This window comes from Homo sapiens, chromosome 2, assembly GCF_000001405.40.
Source record: "Homo sapiens chromosome 2, GRCh38.p14 Primary Assembly".
Lineage (NCBI taxonomy): Eukaryota > Metazoa > Chordata > Mammalia > Primates > Hominidae > Homo > Homo sapiens.
This window is the reverse complement of record NC_000002.12, coordinates 71,330,023-71,351,067: the sequence shown is the minus strand read 5'-3', so window position 1 is coordinate 71,351,067 and position 21,045 is coordinate 71,330,023. Positions and strand designations below refer to the sequence as shown.

Genomic DNA, 21,045 nt, shown 5'->3' with positions numbered 1-21,045 from the left:
CAACCATACGTAAGTAAATAAAATTTACTTGGAAATTCCTGCTCAAATCTACCAATGATTACGACTGAACAGTATGTTCTACATTATAGTACACTTCACTGCCTCTGCAAAATACTTCCTTCTAACTATACTATCAAACTACCTAAATCATCTTTATTTTTTAAAGATTTTTCTCTACAAATTTCTATCATTTTACACTATTTTCTGAGTCCACAGCTGGTCCCAGAATAATTACTGCACCTTGACTTATTTTTGCTATGAAGTTATTTTAGAAAGCTTCTTCTCAAAAAATACTAAAAATCACTAGTCTACATAAAGTCAGGAAATATTTAAATCAACATTAATTGTCTTTATCCCAAGACAGGTGTATATGTGCAAGGCTATAATATACTGTCTCTTAAATGTGTGCATTACAAATGGGTTATACCATCTCTTTGTATTTTTATACTAACAGATCCTTTTAGAGAAAGGTGATTCCATGTGACATTGTCTTGTAAGTACGCAGCTTATGTTACATAAATTTTATGTTGCGTAAGTGGGATAACTAAAAGTTCAAAATAAATGGACACACTACTAAAATATGGTGTGCCCGGTCATAGGAATACAGTAAGCCTAAAATTCAATTCAGTACTAAGGCCAGGGCTACTTAAGATTACAACTATGTATTGAGGTTGCAATTAAAATTACCTTCTGCCATTTCCTTAACGCCTAGTTAACAAGCAGCATACATATCAGAATTTAGAGAAAACTGGCGCTGAGCATCATTATACAGTGATCTTTTTTTAAAAACACTCACCTTCAAATGACTACATTCTACGTTACACAGAGAACACAAATGTGGAAATATTCTTGGAGATGCTGCATAATAATCATTCATCATAGAAGGAGTTGGAAGTCTCTTCATCTTCTGGGCATCAGCATGTGAAAACTTTGGTAGCCAGGATGCTTTCACAATACCAAAGGGAGACCGAATGGGAATGTCAGCCTGTGACTGGTAATTCTTTTTACTTCCTCTTGATCCAACATGTACGTTAGATGAATTAATCACAGGTTCATGTGGGATCCGCTCTTGCTGGCTTACAGATGAAATTAATTCCGACGAAAAAGGTTGCTGGTTCATAGATGGAGGAATCAGAGATTGACTCATTGTCTGGCTAACTGTTTGGTTAATGGATTGGTTGACGGATTTTATGGGTTCAAGGACTGACTGTCCTCCTGAAATGTGTAAGCCTGACATCTTGGTTCCACTCTCAACTGAGAAAAAGGACCGATTATTGGAGGACTCACCGGGGAAGTCCATTTGGCGAAATACGTCTTCAACAGGAAACATAGAATTACATATCACATTTGGATTGGGAACAGATGCAGAAATGTTCTGCTGTGACTGAAATTCATTCTCGACCTCATCAGTTGGAATTTCAGGATCATAAATACGTACTTCAAGTGGATCTTCTGTGTAGCCATATTTGCTTGCATGCCCATAATCGATCACATTACTTGAAACTGCTTCACTACCAAGTGTTTCTTTATTTCTGCTCTGAGAAGGTAAATTAGGTAATCGGCGCCCCATTTTTCGCATTCTTATATCCCTCAAAATTAATGGCATATTTTCAGGAGTTAGTTGTTCATCAGGATAGCGACTAAGTTCTTCTAGGTCTTCATTAGATAATCCAAAACTTGCTAAGATACTTGAGGCACTCTCTTTTGTATAGCGGCTCTGTACTTTGGGACTCTGCTCTGTAACCTGTGTTACAGAACTCTGTTTCACTGCCACTGATGCAGATATATGAGGCTCATCATCCCACCGGCTACCATGAGGCTTCCCCTTCTTCTGTTGTGCTTCATGAAAATCCAGTTTTTCTTTGGTCAATCTTGGATCAGTTCTGTGTTGAGTTACCTGAACATTCATTCTCTGTGGCCCCATGTTCTGATAAGATTCATGGCCAGCAAATCTGTGTGGAATTCCACGTGCTCTCCCTGCTGGGTAAAATCTTGGGAGACCCATAGATCCAGGCCTCATAAATGGTCCTGGAGGCCTCATCCCAGAAGGGTTAGGTGCTCGTGGCCTTTGAAGTGGAAAGTCTCCTCGAGGATTAAACCTGGGTCTCGACATGGCTATTTTCAAGAAAGCCTGATTTAATAAAGTATAAGGTGGTGTTGAACCATGTGAGGCAACGGCATTCAGCTGCTGAAGCGCCAACTGAGTCTTAATCTGAGCAAAGTGCAAAGGAGATGGGCCCAACAGAAGTGGGTTTGCAATGCCCAGGTTCAAGGAATTCACAAGTGGTGCGAAATTTTCCAAGAATAACACAAAGCTGAAAGTTAAAACACAAATATTAGATCATTTTAACTCAAACTACTTCATGAAGTGGGTTCTACAGCCAGTGTAAAACATTTTGAAATAAAGCCATGAAACCATTCTGCATTTCATATACTTTTAGAGTAAGGGCTTACGAAGATTTAAATTTCCCAAAAACTTTCTCTTCTTTTCTTTCCTGAATGCAGAACACAAGCCCCAAACCTCAAGCCAGAGTTCATGTACATTGTGTTGCACTGGGTGCTGTCCTAGGTGCTGAGCAGTAATTACAACTCCTTTTACATAATCTTGAAAAATACTGGGAATTTATTTCACGCTGTAATACTGGGGAAAAAAAAGATGAAGGCATTAAAATACTTATAAATGCACACATTTAATACGCATGTTATCAGATATACAAATAATGAAAGTAAGAACTGTAAGCCTAAAAGACCCATTTTTGTAAAACACAATCTTCCTTGGAATCAGCCTTGACATCTAATAAATCCCATAGGGCAATTAAACTACACTTATGTTCCTATTATTAAATAGTTGTTTCTTGTAAGATAAAAATTTGTTGCCAATAACCTGACTACAGAGTCTAAGAAAACAGTATGCAATGGCATGGAATTCGTTATAACATAGAACATAATACATAACAAAACCAGTAACCCTTCCCTTGGATTCCATCCATAGACGCAGTATGGACGAATATATATGGATGACAATAATGATTAACTATATAGAGCACTGTCCACGTGTCAGTCAGCGTTCTATGAACTTTAAATGGAATGGGTCATTTGATGCTCACAACAGTCCTGAGATATGTACAGTTTTACAGAGGAAGACACTAAGGCACACACAGGTAAAGTAACTTACAAAGAAAAGTGACTGTGCTGAGATTTGTATTCAAGGTTATCTGGTCCAGTAATCTGTGCTCTTAACCATTAACAGATGTGAGTAAAAGTAACTTACAGTTTCCAGGCACTTTATTAGTTAAAACTGGTTGCTGACCAGCCCATCAGACTGTACTACCCCCTTCAACACTCTTCTCAGAAAACAGTACTTTAGCTACCATTCAGGACCAAGGTCAGCAGCCACACAACTTGCCTTTTCTACAATTAAAAAATGTATGAGCATATAGACTATGCTGGTGCTATCAGGACCTCACTTTTATGTGTGATTGAAATGCATGGTGGAAAATGTGAGGTCTTGAGGCATCTACAATTGTTATAAACATCAACATCATGGATCCTATTTGCTAACCATCACTGTCTGGTTCAAGCCACAATTTCATCCGTTACTTTACTATACACTTTTCTCTATTTATATATAATGTTAGTAATTGTTAATTTGGCTGGGAAAATGGTCTTTATCTGGTTAACACCCTTCCCTCCAATCATTTTGCATGCTGCCACCACATTTAACCTTTGCAAAAGGACATTTTCACCACACAACTCCTCTGTTCAAAAATCCACAAATATCTCATTCCCTTCATTTCTTAGCTTTATTGTTTAAGGTCCAACCAATCTAACCAATCTCTCTAATTTTATCAGACAGGTATTTTTGCTATGCCTTTGTTCCTATTCTTCCCAAATCTCTTCATCTCTTCCAATCAAAAACAAACCTTGCCCTGGACGCTCACCTGACTTTATTCATCCTTCAAGGTCACCCCCATTCAACCTCCCTTGACTACCAATGCCAAGAGTGAGTCTTCCAATAATCTTTCTTTTTTTTTTCTTTTTTTAAAGACAGGGATGCACTTTGTCACTCAGGCTGGAGTCCAATGGCGCAATCTCGGCTCACTGCAACCTCCACCTCTTGGGTTCAAGCCATTCTCCTGCCTCAGCCTCCCGAGTAGCTGGGATTACAGGCATGTGCCACCATGCTACCTGGCTAATTTTTTGTATTTTTAGTAGAGATGGGGTTTCGTCATGTCGGCCAGGCTGGTCTCAAACTCCTGATCTCAAGTGATCCACTTGCCTTGACCTCCCAAAGTGCTGGGGTATGAGCCACGTCGCCCGGCATTCAATAACCTTTATTTATTGCTTGCACCATTTTTGGATTCTTACTATCTTATGTTTTTGCACTCACACACACATGGTCTTTTTCAACAACCTAATGTCAGTTGAAGGTTTATGTTCATGGCTAAGTCTTATCCCCCAGGCATATAAACCCTACTCCTACTCAAAAGATCCTCAAGTATTTGTTAAACTATCTGGTCACATCCAAAGTACTCATTAGTAACATGCACAGGTTAATTTTCAAATTAGAATGAAACACAAAAACACATCAAATACACAGGCTTTTGATTCACCAGATACAAGCTGCAGACACAAGCTTACCAAACAATGATACCTACATTCTGTTAAAAAGTTCATTTGTAACAAACTCACGGTCTTTTTAAACAATCATGAATCATATGAAATTGTGCCTACCTTCTACATAATAAAATATCTTCCAAAAACAACTGTCTTCACCCAATCCTAAAAGATACGCATTGCTTATGTAAGCAGTTTATCATGTAGTTATTACAATGCTTTCTGAACCACTTATTCCATTTGGTGAAGACTCCTCTTATAACTTCATAAGCACAAGCTCTTTCAAATAATGTTTCTCCCCCAAAATAAAACAGCAAAAGAACAAATTTCAATCAGAGTGATCTAATTACTAAATGGAATTGTGAATAAGTATCATTTGGAACAATCTCCATTTAAAATTCCTTAAAGGCAAAAATGTACTGTGTATTTCCTAATGTGCCCAACATTGCATTACAATGATTCAAGTACACATTTATAGAAGGTTAAGACAACTGCCCCTGACAAACTGTATTCTCCAGAATACTAGAGTACTCTAAGAGTGGTCTTCTACAAAGATGTTGCCTGGCCAAGAAAGTTTGAAGGCCACCATACTTGCCTTTTAGAGGGGAACAATGTCTATTAGCATATTAAAGTCTATGAGAGGCCAGGTGAGGTAGCTCACTCACGCCGGTAGTCCTAGCACTTTGGGAGGCCAAGGCAGGCCGACTGCTCTGAGCCCAGGGGTTCAAGACCAGCCTGGGCAACATGACAAAATCCTGTCTCTACAAAAAAAAATACAGGTGGCTCACACCTGTAATCCCAATACTTTGGGAGGCCAAGGCAGGAGGACTGCTTTGAGCCCAGGAGTTCGAGGCCAGCCTGGGCAACATGGTGAGACCTCATCTCTACAAAAATGAAAAAACCAAGCATGTTGGTTTTTTCCAACTAGCTACTCAGGAGGCTGAGGTGGTAGGACTGCTTGAGTTCAGGATGTCAAGGCTGCACTGAGCTGTTTCCACCACTGTACTCCAGCCTAGGTGGCAAAGCAGACACTGTCTCAAAAAATTCATATAAATAAAATATCTGCCTATGACCTATATGCCAAATAACATATCTTCAATGGTTAAAAAAAGTAAGCATTATGTTGCCTTTTCTTTGTGAATGAAATTTAAGGAGTATAATGGTCACCCCTTCTCTGAGGTGGATGCATTCTAAGATCCCCAATGGATGCCTGAAACCATAGATGGTACTAAATCCTATATATACTGTGTTTTTTCCTATATATCCATACCTGTGATAACATTTAATTTATAAATCAGCTACAGTAAGAGATTAACAATTAAAAATAATTAAAATATAGCATAATGAAAGTTTTATGAATGTGGTTGCTCTCAAAATGTCATTCTCATACCATACTCACCTATTTTTGGATGGTGGTTGACTACAGGTAACTAACTGCAGAAAGTATAGCCATGGATAAGGGGAGACTACTGTATACTCATATTTCATTTGCACAATTTTCACTTTTAATTAAAAAGGTTAGCTACATTTTTAATCATTTAGCAAAGTTTGTCTTCTACCATTCATATCCACTCCAAATAAAATGTTTTAACTAAAAGGATGCTTGTTATTTATACTTCAAGCTTTCTATTTATAAGGTATTATAGTTTCCTTTTGCAATTACATAATTCTGAAGCCTTATTTTTTCAAATTTAACTTAGGTGCCCCACCAACAGCACTTCTACTTTGTCACTTAACTTTTATGTATGTCCTTCTCAATCAATTCAAGGGAATAAAATTACAAGATTAAGTATCAGGCCATTCAAGACAGTTTTTTAAATGTTAAGTACTCCCAAGAAATTTTGAGAAAGTTTTCTTAGCAATAAATCTAGAGAATAAGTTCAAATTCAGCCTTTATTCATACAAAATAATTACTGACCAAAGATATTACAGCCAGAACAGATCTCTCCTTCATATAGCTAACACTCTACTTTTTAAGATGGAGCTAGTATCTCATGAAATTAGGGTAACCAAAATGATACAATATATAGTTAGAAATCTCTTGAAAACTTCCCTTTTCATGCTTCTGCAATTATAAAAGCTTGCAGAGAGACTGGAAACTGGTCAAATAAACTATAGTACATCTGTATTTTCAGCATCCACTGGCAGGTCCTTAGAACGTATCTCCCTCAGAAAAAGGGACACTACTACGTAAAGGCTTTTAATGACCAGAATCAGAATCCATACAAAAAAGATAGGAAAATTATTCTGGGTTGGAGAGAGTTTCAGAATTTGGATACTAAAAGTAGAGGGCAAGCTGTTATTTTATTTTTATTTTTTTTGAGACGGAGTCTCGCTCTGTCGCCCAAGCTGGAGTGCAGTGGCGTGATCTTGGCTCACTGCAACCTCCGCTTCCCAGGTTCAAGCAATTCTCCTGTCTCGCCCTCCTGAGTAGCTGGGACTACAGGTGCGTGCCACCACACCCGGCTGATTATTTTTATTTTTAGTAGAGACGGGGTTTCACCATGTTACCCAGGATGGTCTCGATCTCCTGACCTTGTGATCCACCCGCCTCAGCCTCCCAAAGTGCCAGGATTACAGGCATGAGCCACCGCGCCTGGCGGCAAGCTGTTAATTTTAACAGGAGATGGTGTGATACAACAGGAAAACGTGAGTTTTTTTGGTGGGGAGAGGGGAGCAGAAAGCAGAAAATTCAAATTCAAACTATAAGAGTCTGTCATCTACTTGTCAAAAAGGTCTATGACCCAAAAAGGTTAAGAAATTCTATTTAGGGGTGTCAGAATCTACATTTTTAAGGCCTCAATTCACATGGTTAGGAGACAATCTAATCTCTCTTCTATTCCATTTAATTTTTAGCTACTGGCTCTCCTACACTGCTACATGCCTAATGCCTTCTACTCGATCACTTCCATACATCTCAATTTTGCTAAACACTGATTTTTGTTGTTTCTGTTTTACTTATTGGCAGGCAGGAACATTTAATTGGGAATGACAGTAGGTCACAAATTTCCTTCTTACAAGTTTCCATCTAAATCCTGCATGCCACTGTGGGGTGGGGTGAGGAGATACATCCTAACAGACCCTTCTTTTTCCCCTTTTTGTTTTTAGTGGAAAGGAGTAAGCTCAGAATTATTCACTCAATGTATTAAATATCTTCTGAGAGCCTAACATGACAGTCACCAGGCTACTTTTTAGTTTCAAAGCCAAATAAAATACAGTTGCGTTCCTATAGCCAAAGTGCCAACAATCTAACAGAAAAAAAACAAATTTCAGTAACGTTTGTCAGTATTATAACAAGGCTGAGGTATCAGAAAAGGATTTCTGGAAGACAGAAATGCTTGAATTGAGTTTTGTAGGATGGCATCTTCTACAGTTTTGAGGAAACTAGTACAAATGAGATTTCAAATAACAATGTCTTACTAAACATGTTTATCAAATTTTCAAAAATTTGGAGTATCCTAAAGTCTTTGGATAAAATACTGTAAGACAGTTGTACTGGAAATGATAAAAAGTAAATTATAACTTATTAACTACATATTTCTGACAAAGGCATAATATTCAAGACAAAAAAAAATAGCTTCAGCTAAAACATTAGTCTTCGCACCCTCAGGACTATTTGATAGACGTCAGCTATGAAGACAGAAAAAAAGTGTTAGGAACCAACATCCCTTATGCCATATGTCAGCTACTGTTTTTAGTGGCTTTTTCAATCCTCTGCTCTCTCTACACCAATTCCCTTACCAAATTGCCAAGACACACACACACACGCACGCACAAAAATCTCCATTTCTAACTATAAAATTCAGTGTATTCCTGTCAATACTTCTCGTATGTACTTTTCTTTTTCCTCTCACCACCATCATCATCCCAATGCCTTTTCTTTGGCTATTATAAACTTTAAATCTACAGTTACCTATGTAGATTCACAGATGCACTGGCAAAAAGAGGCAAAAGTTACAGGCTCAAGTGCTTAATGAGTAAAATAATGTGTCTGAGATTTTCTTTAAAATAATCTGGGCGGAGGTGAGGGAAAGAGTGAACATGTGTAGTGGGGCAAGGGGCGGTGGTGGTGGTAGATGAAGGGAATTTGATGAAGCAAGACACGTAAAAATACTGGTTGTGGAAGCTGAGTCCCTAAGAATTTATCTGTGCTTTTTTTACATTTCTGAAGATTTCCAAAATAAAAAGTTTAAGTCCTAAATATTAGTATGACTTTTTTTTTTTTTTTTTTTGAGACAGAGTCTCACTGTCACCCAGGCTGGAGTGCAGTGACGCAGCCTCAGCTCACTGAAACCTCCACCTCCTGGGTTCAAGCGATTCTCCTGCCTCAGCCTCAACCTTCCTTCCCACTTGACTTTTTTAACTATTACTAAACAGTTTGATATTTTGCTGTCTTTGTTTCGTTCCACCTTTTGGTGGAAAATATTAATTTGTAAAATTTAGAAAATAAAATTAAGCAAAACAAGCAAAGTGATCTTGGTAAGAAACCTCTAAGAATTAGGTTATATCACAACGAAGAAAATAAAGCCTCTGCCTTTTTAAGATAATGATGTAACCTGAAAACAGTGTGATAAGAAACAGAAACTAAACAAAGGCAAATTTGGCATTAATACCTGGAAAACCACCAAACAAATTAAGACAGCCATTATAAAACCTTTCTCCTTTAACCCCAGGAGCTCTGGTCATAAAGAGGTTCGTTCATCGGAAGATTTATGGATAGTCATCTTATGAAATAAATAACCTGGAAAAACGAAGAGTTGAGATCAGGGTTCTTAACTATTAACTTGTTGGGGAAAAAACTGCAATTAAGTAGCATTAACCCTTTAAAATAAATGTTTTATTCCTAGTTATGTAAGTAATGTGTGCTTGTTACAGAAACAATAAAGCTGCAAACAAAATCCTTACCAATAAAACCATCACCCAGAGTAAATTAATACTCTGGTATAGTTTCATCTACTTTAGTGTACGTTCATGCACGCATGATGGGGGGGTGGGGTATATTAAACACTGTACAAAATTAGAAGTATACTATTTGCTCTTTTCAGTTGACATTTTATTTTTCTAAATTTACTATTTTTCAAAAACTGGATACTTAATAGTGACAAAACATGCTGAACCTTTGAACTGTTTTAACAAGTAACTAATAACTCTCATTTATGTCCTTTTAAGAACTAAAACATACCACTGTAAAACAAGAAATATTCAATATAATGTCAACCATAAAAATTCTTTCAGAAACATAGTAGAAACTGGGTTCTTGAGGAAGCCATGATGAAACGGCTTGATGAATTGAAAAGATAGCGCTATTAGATCCTGTGAGGTATTTCTGAGATCTCCAATACCACAGACAACCAAGAACTGCCTATTATTTTGATGCAGTCTTTCAGAAGGAAGGGAGCCCTTAATTTTCTTTACAGATATGGGCAGACTTTATCCAAAACCATCATCAAAAATCAATCCATCAGATAATGGCTCCATCAGACTTATAAGGAAAAGATTTATATCAAACACCATACTTTTGGACTTACACTACTTTAAAGTTTACAAAGCACTTTAAATATTATCTCGTCTGAGCTTCACAATGACCTTAAGAGGAAAGGAATTCCAGTTCACACATTAAGTAAAACACAGCTAGGAAGTAACAAGATTACAACATCTCCCATTGGTGTTCTTTCCATATACCAGATACATTAAGTGTAAATCTACTTTATAACTTTATTTCTAATCATAAAAAAGCAATACAGTTTCAAAATCCGCCCCCCAAAAAGAAAAACCACCCTATAACATGCAGGAAAGAAAAAAAAGTATTCTATAATCTTCCCACAAAGGGAAAACTACCACTAACATTATTTTTCTAGACATACACCCATATACCTCATTTGATACTGCTTTGTTAGAGCACTGTTTGTCTCAGAATATATAAATTCACTTTGGTACTTAAGAATGCAGTTATTACAATGGGTAGTTAATAGAAGAGGCTGATTGTTTATTCAGCTATAAAAACTAACATGTCATTCTGTGCTTTCCTGGTACTCAATCTGCTGATCTCTCCTACCACGCAGATAAAGCCACTCAGCCAACTTCTTTACTATTAGTCTTTGTCCTCTCTTGTCTCACAAAAGGCATGCAAGTAACAATTCTGAGGGTGCCACAAGTGTTGACAGAGAGTACCATGTTTCACGTTAAAATGCCAAAATGTGGTGCCTTCAAAGAAACAGTCAATGAAACAGAAAGCAAAAATAAGCAGAAAATTAGAAACGTTATTTGGCATCATGAAGGGCAACACCAAATTTCACTACTAACTGCAAGGATTGATAAACACCATGATTTCAGATTTGAAAAAAAATGGAAAACTGCTAATGCACAATGTTAAGAGATCTCCATGAGAACCAGGCATTAATCCCATATAGCAATGATTTAATATTGTTACCAATTTCAGGAAAATGATTTTTTGATAAATGGGCTATTGTAAGATATACCTTTTTATTTCTTAGGAGCATGTGACCTGCATACGTAAACAGGCCTCTAGAGCACAACATTGTATTTATTGTAAATGATGCTCCCCCGCAGATGTGCACTGGTGGCCTTGCTCTAAACACTCCTAGTAAGTGTAACAGGTTAGCCCAAGAGGAAACACCTTATCCAAGCTGGAACAAAGAAATCTTCCCTAGGATTTTTTGTTAAACTAGAAATGAGAAAAGTGGTAGATGTTTCTAAAATTCAAATGCTGTTAACAGCCCTATTTACTGCTTTACTGAGAAACTGCACCATAAAACAACAACAACAACAAAAGCCACTGGAACAGAGGTAAGCAAGACCAAGAAGTAAAGACAATAATGAAGGTATTCAATATCCAGTCCCAATTGTTTCTGAAGCCTAACTCATCCTTGCCCTCTCTGCCATTTGGTTATTTGCTTTTCTTCATGGAGTAACATGGCCAAAAAATGTTTCCATTTACCTAAAGTGGGTTCTAAAATCTTCAATTAAATATACCTAAACTGGCCGGGCGCGGTGGCTCATGCCTGTAATCCCAGCACTTTGGGAGGCTGAGGAGGGCGGATCACCAGGTCAGGAATTCAAGACCAGCCTGACCAACATGGTGAAACCCTGTCTCTACTAAAAATATAAAAATTAGCCGGGTGTGCTGGCAGGCGCCTGTAATCCCAGCCACTCAGGAGGCTGAGGCAGGAGAATCTACTTGCACCTGGGAGGTGGAGGCTGCAGTGCACTGAGATGGTGCCACTGCACTCCAGCCTGGGTGCAAGTGAGACTCCGTCTCAATAAAAAAAAAAAAAAAAAACCTAAACCGACTAAATGCATTAAAAGCCTTAAGCCTTGAAGTCTTTACAAGTGCAGATGAGCATACAGTATGCCATCTTTTGTGTTAAACAAAAAAGGAAAACAGGAAAACATACATATACCTCTTTATGGTTAGCACAAAGAAACAAAGGAAGAATAATACAGAAAACGATGAAGCTGGTAATCTATAAGGGGTAATGGATAGAAAGGATTGAAGGGATATGGTAATGTTATTTCAAGGAGCATCTTACTATACAGTTTTAACCTTTGGAAACATGTTAACAATTTACATATATTTTTAAAATCAGTAAGGATGGGATGGAGAAAAATATCTAACACTGAAAGCAAACTAATCCAATCATATTTCAAATGCATACCACAATACATTGAAGGGGAAAAAGAAAACTAATCCAAGAACTTATAAACCACTATTCAATTTATGTACCTCACAGGAGGCCACACCCCGAGTGTTACAGCCCCCCAGGAAAATAAATAAATAAAAAACGATTTATGTACCTCAGTTTTGATGGAGCTAAGGGAAAGAGAAGAATAACGAATTTTCACTCTTTTTAGTAATTTTATTTTTTGTAGTGGTATGGATGAAGCAATTCTGAAACTACTTTAGATACATCATAAGTTTGAGCAAGTAAGTAAATGTTTTGATGGTGCTAGGAACTTAGGGCTTTCATTGTGAAAGACAAGAAATACAAATAGGAAATAGGAGAAAGCAAGAAAGAACTGAAGAGTAATAAATTATCAAACACTGGAAAAAACAGAGTCCATAAATACATAGCAATAAATTAATCAATGCGGAAGAAGGGAAGCTCTTATAGAGTGCTGAGTACCTACTACTAAATGTAGAATAACAGTTGGAGTAGAAAATCATTTTGCAACCATCATAGTAAAGGATGGTTCAGGTAAGAATCATGAGTGGGTGTTACAGAGGTAAATTCTAATGAGCAGGATATTTGCATGGTCTTAAAACGTCTCTCCAGAGATTAATTCCAGGGGGAGTGGGGGGAAACAAGCACTTTAACCATAGCATATGCTCACACATAGTATCATGCATGAAGGGCAAATGGAAATGGTAAATCTCCAGATCTGATATCCTGGGGACATAGCATTAGTTACGTGATTTTTCTGCCCAGGGACATATAATCTACATCTAATCAAGAGGAAACATCAGATAAATCCAAAATGAGAAGTGCTCTATTAAAGAGAAAAGCAAAGCAGATTGTATTCTTCAAAAATGTCAACTTCACAAAAGATAAAGGCAGACTATGGAAATGTTCCAGACTAAGGAAGATTAAAAAGACATAACAACTAAATGCAACATCTGATCTTAGTTTAGTCCTGTACTGGAGGGGGAAAAAAAAACTGCTATAAAAAACAATATTGGGTCAATTGACAAAAACCAGAATACAAATAGTAGACTGAATAATTTTATAGGCTGCGCATTGGCTCATGCACGTAATCTTACTACTTTGGGAGGCCGAGACAGGTGGAATGCTTGAGCTCAGGAGTTCGAGACCAGCCTGGGCAACATGGCAAAATCCCATCTCTACAAAAAATATAAAACGTAGCCAGGCATGGTGGTGCGCGCCTGAGCCAGTACTCCCAGCCACTTGGGAGGATCGCTTGAGCCCAGGAGGCAGAGATTGCAGTGAGCCGAGATCACTCACTGGACTCCAGCCTAGGTGACAGAGCCAGACACTTCCTCAAAAAAATAAAAAAGGATTTTATAAACGTGAAATTCATTGAAGTTGGTAACTATGACTGTGAAAGAAAATATTTTTAGGAAATACACACTGAAGTATTTAGAGATAAAGGACCACAATATATGCAACTTAATGTCAAACTTTTCGGGAAAAAACCATATATGCAGGAGACAGGGAACTCCCCCACCACCTGTCACTTAAATTCATTCAAATATAGTTAATGGCACAACATTTCATGTCCAACATTGGACTATGTGATCTTCTTACTTTATACAAAGTCAAAAAAAAAAAAAAAACTATAGGCAATATGGCAAGAGGCAGAAAACCTGCAGTATAATAAAGAGCATCAGCCTTAAACACATTTTTGGATTTGGCCCTTCTTTTCTACATCATGTTCACTTCCTAACTATTGACTGTTAGTCAGCCTATTATGCAATCCATAATAATCTAATCTTTGGGGAAATTTCCACTGATCTGAAGATACCCACCCTGCTAGGAGGGGTGCCAGTGAATGACTTCATGCAAAATTAGTTAACTCCTTAAGTAAAATTTAGCACTACTAATTCAGCTTTAGAGAGGTAGTGCAGCACAGTCTTTAAGAACTTAGACCCTACATTCAGTGTTTTAACTCTGGTCCTGCTGCTTGCTAACAATGTTACCCTGAGCAAGCTGGTTAATCCAAGCCTATTTCATCCTGTGAAATAACTCTGGTCCCACTGCTTGCTAACAATGTTACCCGGAGCAAGCTGGTTAATCCAAGCCTGTTTCATCCTGTGAAAATGAAACAACAGTACCCATTGGGAATGCTGCTGTGAAGATTAACTAAAATTGTAAATCCTGACATGCAACAGGTGCTCAAAAAATGCTCAACAGTAAACAAAATGCTTAATAGGTGTTTCTTTCTTTTAGTAAGACGAGTAATTTTTGAAAATTATATTAGACATAGGAGTTAATTGCTTACATCCACCTTTCTTTCAGTATTTCCTATATTGAGATCTAGCAATTTGTTTAACAAGCACTTGTGTTTTTTTGGTTTTTTTTTTTTTTTTTTTTTTTTTTTTGGAGATGGAATTTCACTCTTGTTGCCCTGGTTGGAGTGCAAGGGCGCAAATCTCGGCTCACCGCAACCTCCGCCTCCCGGCTTCAAGCGATTCTCCTACCTCAGCCTCCCGAGTAGCTGGGATTACAGACATGCACCACCACCCCAGCTAATTTTGTATTTTTAGTAGAGACGGGGTTTCTCCATGTTGGTCAGGCTGGTCTTAAGCTCCCGACCTCAGATGATCCGCCTGCCTCGGCCTCCCAAAGTGCTGGGATTACAGGCGTGAGCCACCGTGCCCCGGCCTTATCAAGTACATTTTTAAAGTCACATCAAAATTCATGAATTCAGATGCTGATGAAGCAAAAGATTATCTAAATAATGTATAAAAAGCAAAGTTTTTCTTCAAGTAAACTCTAAGAAAAGGTAGGTGGGGAGTTTATAGACTTGAGAGTTATCAATCGTAACCAATTATAAATGAATTATGAACATTAGTTGGATCCTGACTCCAACAACCTTTACCACATATGCATGGGGGTGGGAGGTAGTGAGTTACAACTGGGGAAATTTGATATCTGTCTGAATATCTGACATTAAAATTAATTACTCATAGTTACTGTTGTTTTACGTGTAATATGCATGTTTTCTTCTAAACACTCTAGAGAAAATTCTGAACTATATATTGAACTGATAGAAGCATTTGTTTAAAAATAAGCAAGTAGAGATGAAACAAGACTGACCATTAGCTAGATAATTGAAACTGGACAGGCACATGAATGAATTAGTATCATTCTCTCTACTTTTGTATATGTTTAAAATTTTCCATAGTAAAATGGTTTTGTTTCTTTTTTTTTGGTAAAAATATTTAAAACAAAAGTTGGCAACTTTAACTCAGCAGAGACAATAGGCAAGTTAGCTAAAAGTTTAACCGACTGTGGAAATAAGATAGGAAATTTTTTTTAAAACTTGAATGAACAATAAATATATTTTGGTTCAAAAGAATTAAAAAATAATCCAAAATATATGTTCCTTAGGGTAACCATGAAGAAAACAGGCTGGGCGCAATAGCTCACACCTGTAATCCCAGCAATTTAGGCGGGTTAAGGTGGGAGGATGGTTTGAGTCCAGGAGTTTGAGACCAGCCTGGGCAATACAGCAAGACCTTGTCTCTATGAATTTTTTTAAAAAAGATTAGCCAAGTGTGGGGACGTGTGCCTGTTGTCCCAACTACTCAGGAGACTGAGGCAGGAACATCGCTTGCACCCAGGAGGTAGAGGCCGCAGGGAACCATGGTGGCCTTAGAGAAAGAGTGAGATCCTGTCTCAAAAACAAAGCAAAAAAACATAATGTACGTTAAAGCTATTTCTCCTGTTTCCTGGACTTTCTTTTCAAACCAAAACCCTGGACTTTCTTTTCAAACCAAAACCCTTATTATTCTTAACCCTCACCGGAGTTTTTTTTGTTTTTTTTTTTGGAGACGGAGTCTAGCTCTGTCGCCCAGGCTGGAGTGCAGTGGCGCAATCTCGGCTCACTGCAACCTCCACCTCCCGGGTTCACGCCATTCTCCTGCCTCAGCCTCCCGAGTCGCTGGGACTACAGGCGCCCGCCACCACGCCCGGCTAATTTTTTTTCTATTTTTAGTAGAGATGGGGATTCACCGTGTTAGCCAGGATGGTCTAGATCTCCTGACCTGATCCGCCCACCTCGCCTCCCAAAGTGCTGGGATTACAGGCATGAGCCACCGCACCCGGCCCTCACCCGCATTATTACAGTTGTGTGTTTTATTTCTACATCTCACCTTTTCCTCACTCTTTTTCCTTTCCATTATTCTCTTCTCATCTTCTATATACTTATTTTCCTTCCATTTTAATTTTCCATCACAAATTTCAAAACACTAAACAAAGTTAAAGCAATTAAGAGTAGATAAGCTGGATACACATGAGGGCTTATTAGCTTTAGCCACAAACATAATTACTTTCAATTTGGAGAGTCTCTAAAACCACTACATGGCAGCATTCATTAGCGCCTGTTTCCTTGCAAAACAGCCCAAGCTATGTTACTGGGTACCAATACTGGAAGTACTGTTTCTAAGTATATAAGGCATTTTATTAAGGATTTGGACAAATTTAGTCCAAACCTTAATCAGTATACATTAAGGTACAGTGGAAAGAGCATGATTTAGAGTCCAGGCTCTGGTGACTACCAGCTGAGTTCATTCACTCAACATCTGAGCATCTAATACATACCAGGCACTGGGAAAGATACAAAGACTAACGTAACAATCATATAAATGGTTACAATATATATTGATAAGTTCTACAAGAAAGGCATGTAAAAAGTTTATAGAAGCACAAAATATTTTAATGAAAGTTAGATTAGAGGGCCTTTCAACTCCAAAATTCTATTACTCTAAATCCTTTTAAGCCGTTTAATTAGAAGAGAATACCCACAGATTATAATTTTCTATCAAACAATGCTGCCTAAGCACTTCAATTTTGAAATACAAGTAACAGCTAACATTAAGCACCTAGTATGTGCCAAGGAATACGAGCTTTCCATACACTGTCTCACTTAACAGTCACTCACAAAAATCCCAAGCAGGAAGTAATAATGTCACCATTTTAGAGATAAGGAAACAAAAGCTCAAGAAAGACTAAAATAATTTACCAAAGTCTCACACATACTGAGGAAAAGGGAGATGTGAATCCAGATCTTCCGACTGCAAAGCCTATTCTCTTTCCACTAAACTACTTGTCTCATTTTCTTCCACTTACATAAAAACAAAATTTCCGGAGATCACCTACTTAAGAGCACCCAAGAAAAACCCTAAGATAGTCAAGTACAAAGTGATGACTTTTTTAAACTACAGTACCTAAACCTTTTTAACCTAGAGTACCTGCCGTATACACCCTCCAAAACAAAATGCAAAAAAGGATTACAAAACAAATACAACCAATATACAATAAATATGTGACCATAAACACATTATGAAAACTAGTTAATAAAAACGAATAAGATTTTGTGATTTCTTCCAACTGTTATATTTACCCTTTCTTGGTTCCAAGACAAATAAATCCCCAAGGAAGGAATGGCCCAGCATATTTTAATGTATAACATGCTGGGACGCCCTGTAATTATTTAGAAGTACATATTACAGAATATGGAGTACAAAATAAAATATAAAATGCTGTCAAACTTTTTTAAAAGACAGCAACATAAGTCCACTAAGTCTCAAATGTCTAATCATTAACAAAATTTAAAGCTATTTGAATGTCATTTACATGTTTGTTTTTCTCCGAAAACTTCCTTAAATTCACCTTTTTTTGGTCAATCCTTTTCTCCAGGTTATCAATTTTTAATTGTAAATCTGAACCAGCAAGCACAACATCCCTGAAAAAATAATCCTTTACAACAAATGAGGGGAAAAAGCAGAAAATTTTTTGTGCAAAATTCCAGAGCTCGTTGGAAAAAGTACTTGAACATAAATCGCTGGATCCTGGTGACAAGTTTTTCATCGGGACTCCTTTAAACTACTACAATTTCTGGTCCTGGCCCCAAACTTCGCCTAAGGACAAATTTTAAGATTAAGAAAAATTAGCTTCAGGTAGCCTTCACTCTATAGCTCAATCCATGATTTTGTAATACTGAAGTATCCCTCATTAACAATTACCTCAAACAACAAAAGATCTATTTCAAACGTTCTCAAGGATTCCAGTCTGTGATATATACATTCCCCCTTCCTTTAAGAGAACGGGGCCCAAGCTAAGAATCACACAAAAACAATTCACTAACGTTCTGTTTTCACAATTCCTCTGAGAAATTTGGAAATACTGTTAGGTATCACAACCATTTATGAGTCCTCAGTCTCCCACAGAGGTGATATTTTCTTTGGTTTCATACCTGCACTACGCAGCACAGAACACCAGCCCGGAAAAGCCGCTGGATCCTAACATTCCCTCCTTCATCCCGACACCCCCTCCCCAACCCCAAACACAAACACGCTCTTCTCTCCACGCTTCTTGCACAATGTCGCTGGTCAGAGGGCTCGGCTCAAACTCCACCGCCTCTTCGGGCCCGACGGGAACGCTTCCTCCCTGCTCGGCATTCCCTCACCACCGCTTCCTCGGCTGTCAGGCCCAGCGCAGCCTCGGCAGGCCGGGCGCTGCTGGGGAAGGGGCCGCCTCGGCCTCGCCAAAGGGCTCTTCACGATCCTCGGCCCAGTGCAACGGCGTCAGGCAGCTCTTCTCGAGGCAGGGTCCTTCACGAGTACCCGGACGGGCCCTCCCGGGTAGCGAAGTGAATAAACGACGGAGCAGGGCAGCACAGCACAGCTTCCCTTCCCATCCCGGGGGTCCCCCAACCTCCTCCCGCCCCCGCCGTCTGCCCGCCGCCATTTTGTGCGGAGCCGCTGCGACACAGATACAATAGTCGGCCCGGATCTCACAGGAAGGGCTCAGGACCCCCACGATACCGGCCTCCGCCTTCCAACCCCCTACTCCCCACAGGGCAGCGGTCCTACCTATGCCTACCCGACTAACAGCTGGATCCCATCCGCGCCCCACACAGTTTAGCACTCAGCCTCCAGTCTCGACGCCGAAAACGCTACCGCCTCCAAAGAGCTGCACGCATGCGCGCCTCCCAGCTCCTGCGAGCCCTCGTAGGCTCCCGGCGCCTGCGTACCGCTGGCACCGCGCTCGCCCGAAGCCCGAGAAGAGCCGGGCGGAGCGGGCTCCCGGAAGGGGCGCTCCCGCGTGGTGGCGGCGAAGGCGTGCGGCAAAAAAAAAAAAAAACTCCAGCGCCGTCTTCACTCTTTTGCTGGTTCTGTGCCTGTCCTCTCCAAACCGCTCATCCTTTTAAGACCTATATTGTCTCACCTCCTTCATGAAGTCTTCCCTGATCATTTGTGCCTTCAATAATAACATTATATGGCCAGGCGCGGTGGTTCACGCCTGTAATCCCAGCACTTTGGGAGACCGAGGTGGGTGGATCATCTGAGGTCAGGAGTTCGAGACCAGCCCGGCCAACAGGGTGAAACCCCGTTACTAAAAACACAAAAAATAGCCGGTGGCGCGCGCCTGTAGTCCCAGCTACTAGGGGGTGCTGAGGCAGGTGAATTGCTTGAACCCGGGAGGCGGAGGTTGCAGTGAGGGAAGATTGCACCACTGCACTCCAGCCTGGGCAACAGAGTGAGACTCCATCTCAAATAATAATAACAACATTATATTATAACAGGTTATATTCGCGCCTAGCACGTTAATATAATGCTTTGTATGGTCAAGATTTTGCCTGCTTTTATCCTGTCACCTTGCACCTTTTGATCCCTATGGCAATGATGTGTGTCATAGCTACTCAAAACTGTAAAGTAGAATTCAACCAAAGCTATTCAGCTAAAACTTTAACACTCTGAAAATCCTTTTGTCATTTCACAATAAAAAGCCCTATCTGTGTGGTAGATATTTGTAATCTCCATTTTACCCATGGAAAACCTTGGGATGACAGACGTTAAAGAACTGTGTTATGCAATGTTTTATCTTCTCGAGGTGGCTGTACTACACCAATATGAAAACCCAGTCATTGTTCAAAATCTGGTAAAGCTACAAGCCCTGCCGTATGCATACCACACAAATCACACCACCCACCCTGAGTCTCACACATCGGTTTTACCTAGCACTCAAGCAAATGCATTTCTTTTATTCACATTAAAACAAGCATTTGAAAGACTAAAAAGAAAAGTCGTTTTAAAAAGATATCTTATCGGATTTTCATTTCAAACCAAAAATCCTGCTAGGGACAACAAATCAAAAACAACAAAGAAAAAGCCAACAAGCTCCCCCTAAACACCAAATAACCCATGTTAACATTTGATAAGTTTCCTTCCATACATTTCTTTATATTCATACAAACACATTATTTGCATGTAACAGGAAATGTTTTCTTTTTTCACACATTAGCTATTTGCTTTTCTGATTACTGACATTTCTCCAAGTAAACCATATAATCCTTTTTTAAATAATTGTATAATATTCATAGTATAGCTGCCTCAGCAATTATTCAGCCTGTTGTTGAACACTGAAGTTGTTTCCAGTCTTTTTGCTACTGCAAACACTGCTGTATACAAAGACTTACCAAATTATGCTTTAATTTCTAAAGGCTAGAATCATCATAGTGGGAATGCTAGATTAAATGTATATGTGTGTACATACATTTAATTTTAATAGGTGTTGTAGAAAAACTTCCCAAAAAGTTTCTACAAAGTGTCACTTCCACTAAATATGTAAGAAAATAGGCAGGGCAAGGTGGCTCATGCCTGTAATCCCAGCACTTTGGGAGGCTGAGGCAGGTGAATCACAAGGTTAGGAGTTCAAGACCAGC

General features: G+C 38.9%; 1 protein-coding gene across 4 annotated transcripts in view, besides 5 other annotated features; it reads right to left on the bottom strand.

Annotated features, from left to right (window-relative positions):
• ZNF638 (zinc finger protein 638) overlaps positions 1 to 19,286 on the bottom strand; it is a 103,280-nt gene extending 83,994 nt beyond the window's left edge. For 2 of the 4 annotated variants that reach the window (NM_014497.5, NM_001252613.2), the window contains exons 1-2: positions 19,193 to 19,286; positions 797 to 2,315 (exon numbers count right to left, since the gene is read on the bottom strand). In NM_014497.5, the coding sequence (NP_055312.2) occupies positions 797 to 2,113 (1,317 nt within the window). In that variant the 5' untranslated portion in view covers positions 2,114 to 2,315; positions 19,193 to 19,286. Of the gene's footprint in view, positions 1 to 796; positions 2,642 to 19,192 lie in introns of all 4 variants that reach the window. The other 2 variants (NM_001252612.2, NM_001014972.3) reach the window with 2 other exon arrangements.
• Positions 2,415 to 2,709: a silencer, noted in NCBI's record as "tiled region #7735; HepG2 Repressive non-DNase unmatched - State 17:Gen3'". NCBI's record gives its function as "represses a minimal TATA promoter and a strong SV40 promoter by Sharpr-MPRA in HepG2 cells {active_cell/tissue: HepG2}" and the evidence as "EXISTENCE:reporter gene assay evidence [ECO:0000049][PMID:27701403]".
• Positions 2,462 to 2,662: a silencer, noted in NCBI's record as "peak3743 fragment used in MPRA reporter construct". NCBI's record gives its function as "represses an SCP1 promoter by STARR-seq MPRAs in K562 erythroleukemia cells {active_cell/tissue: K562}" and the evidence as "EXISTENCE:reporter gene assay evidence [ECO:0000049][PMID:32103011]".
• Positions 18,320 to 19,005: an enhancer, noted in NCBI's record as "H3K27ac hESC enhancer chr2:71559193-71559878 (GRCh37/hg19 assembly coordinates)". NCBI's record gives its function as "activates a minimal SCP1, AML or CMV promoter by ChIP-STARR-seq in primed H9 embryonic stem cells {active_cell/tissue: H9 hESC(primed)}" and the evidence as "EXISTENCE:reporter gene assay evidence [ECO:0000049][PMID:30033119]".
• Positions 19,006 to 19,693: an enhancer, noted in NCBI's record as "H3K27ac hESC enhancer chr2:71558505-71559192 (GRCh37/hg19 assembly coordinates)". NCBI's record gives its function as "activates a minimal SCP1, AML or CMV promoter by ChIP-STARR-seq in primed H9 embryonic stem cells {active_cell/tissue: H9 hESC(primed)}" and the evidence as "EXISTENCE:reporter gene assay evidence [ECO:0000049][PMID:30033119]".
• Positions 19,277 to 19,486: a silencer, noted in NCBI's record as "silent region_11623". NCBI's record gives its function as "represses an Ori minimal core promoter by ATAC-STARR-seq in GM12878 lymphoblastoid cells {active_cell/tissue: GM12878}" and the evidence as "EXISTENCE:reporter gene assay evidence [ECO:0000049][PMID:35858748]".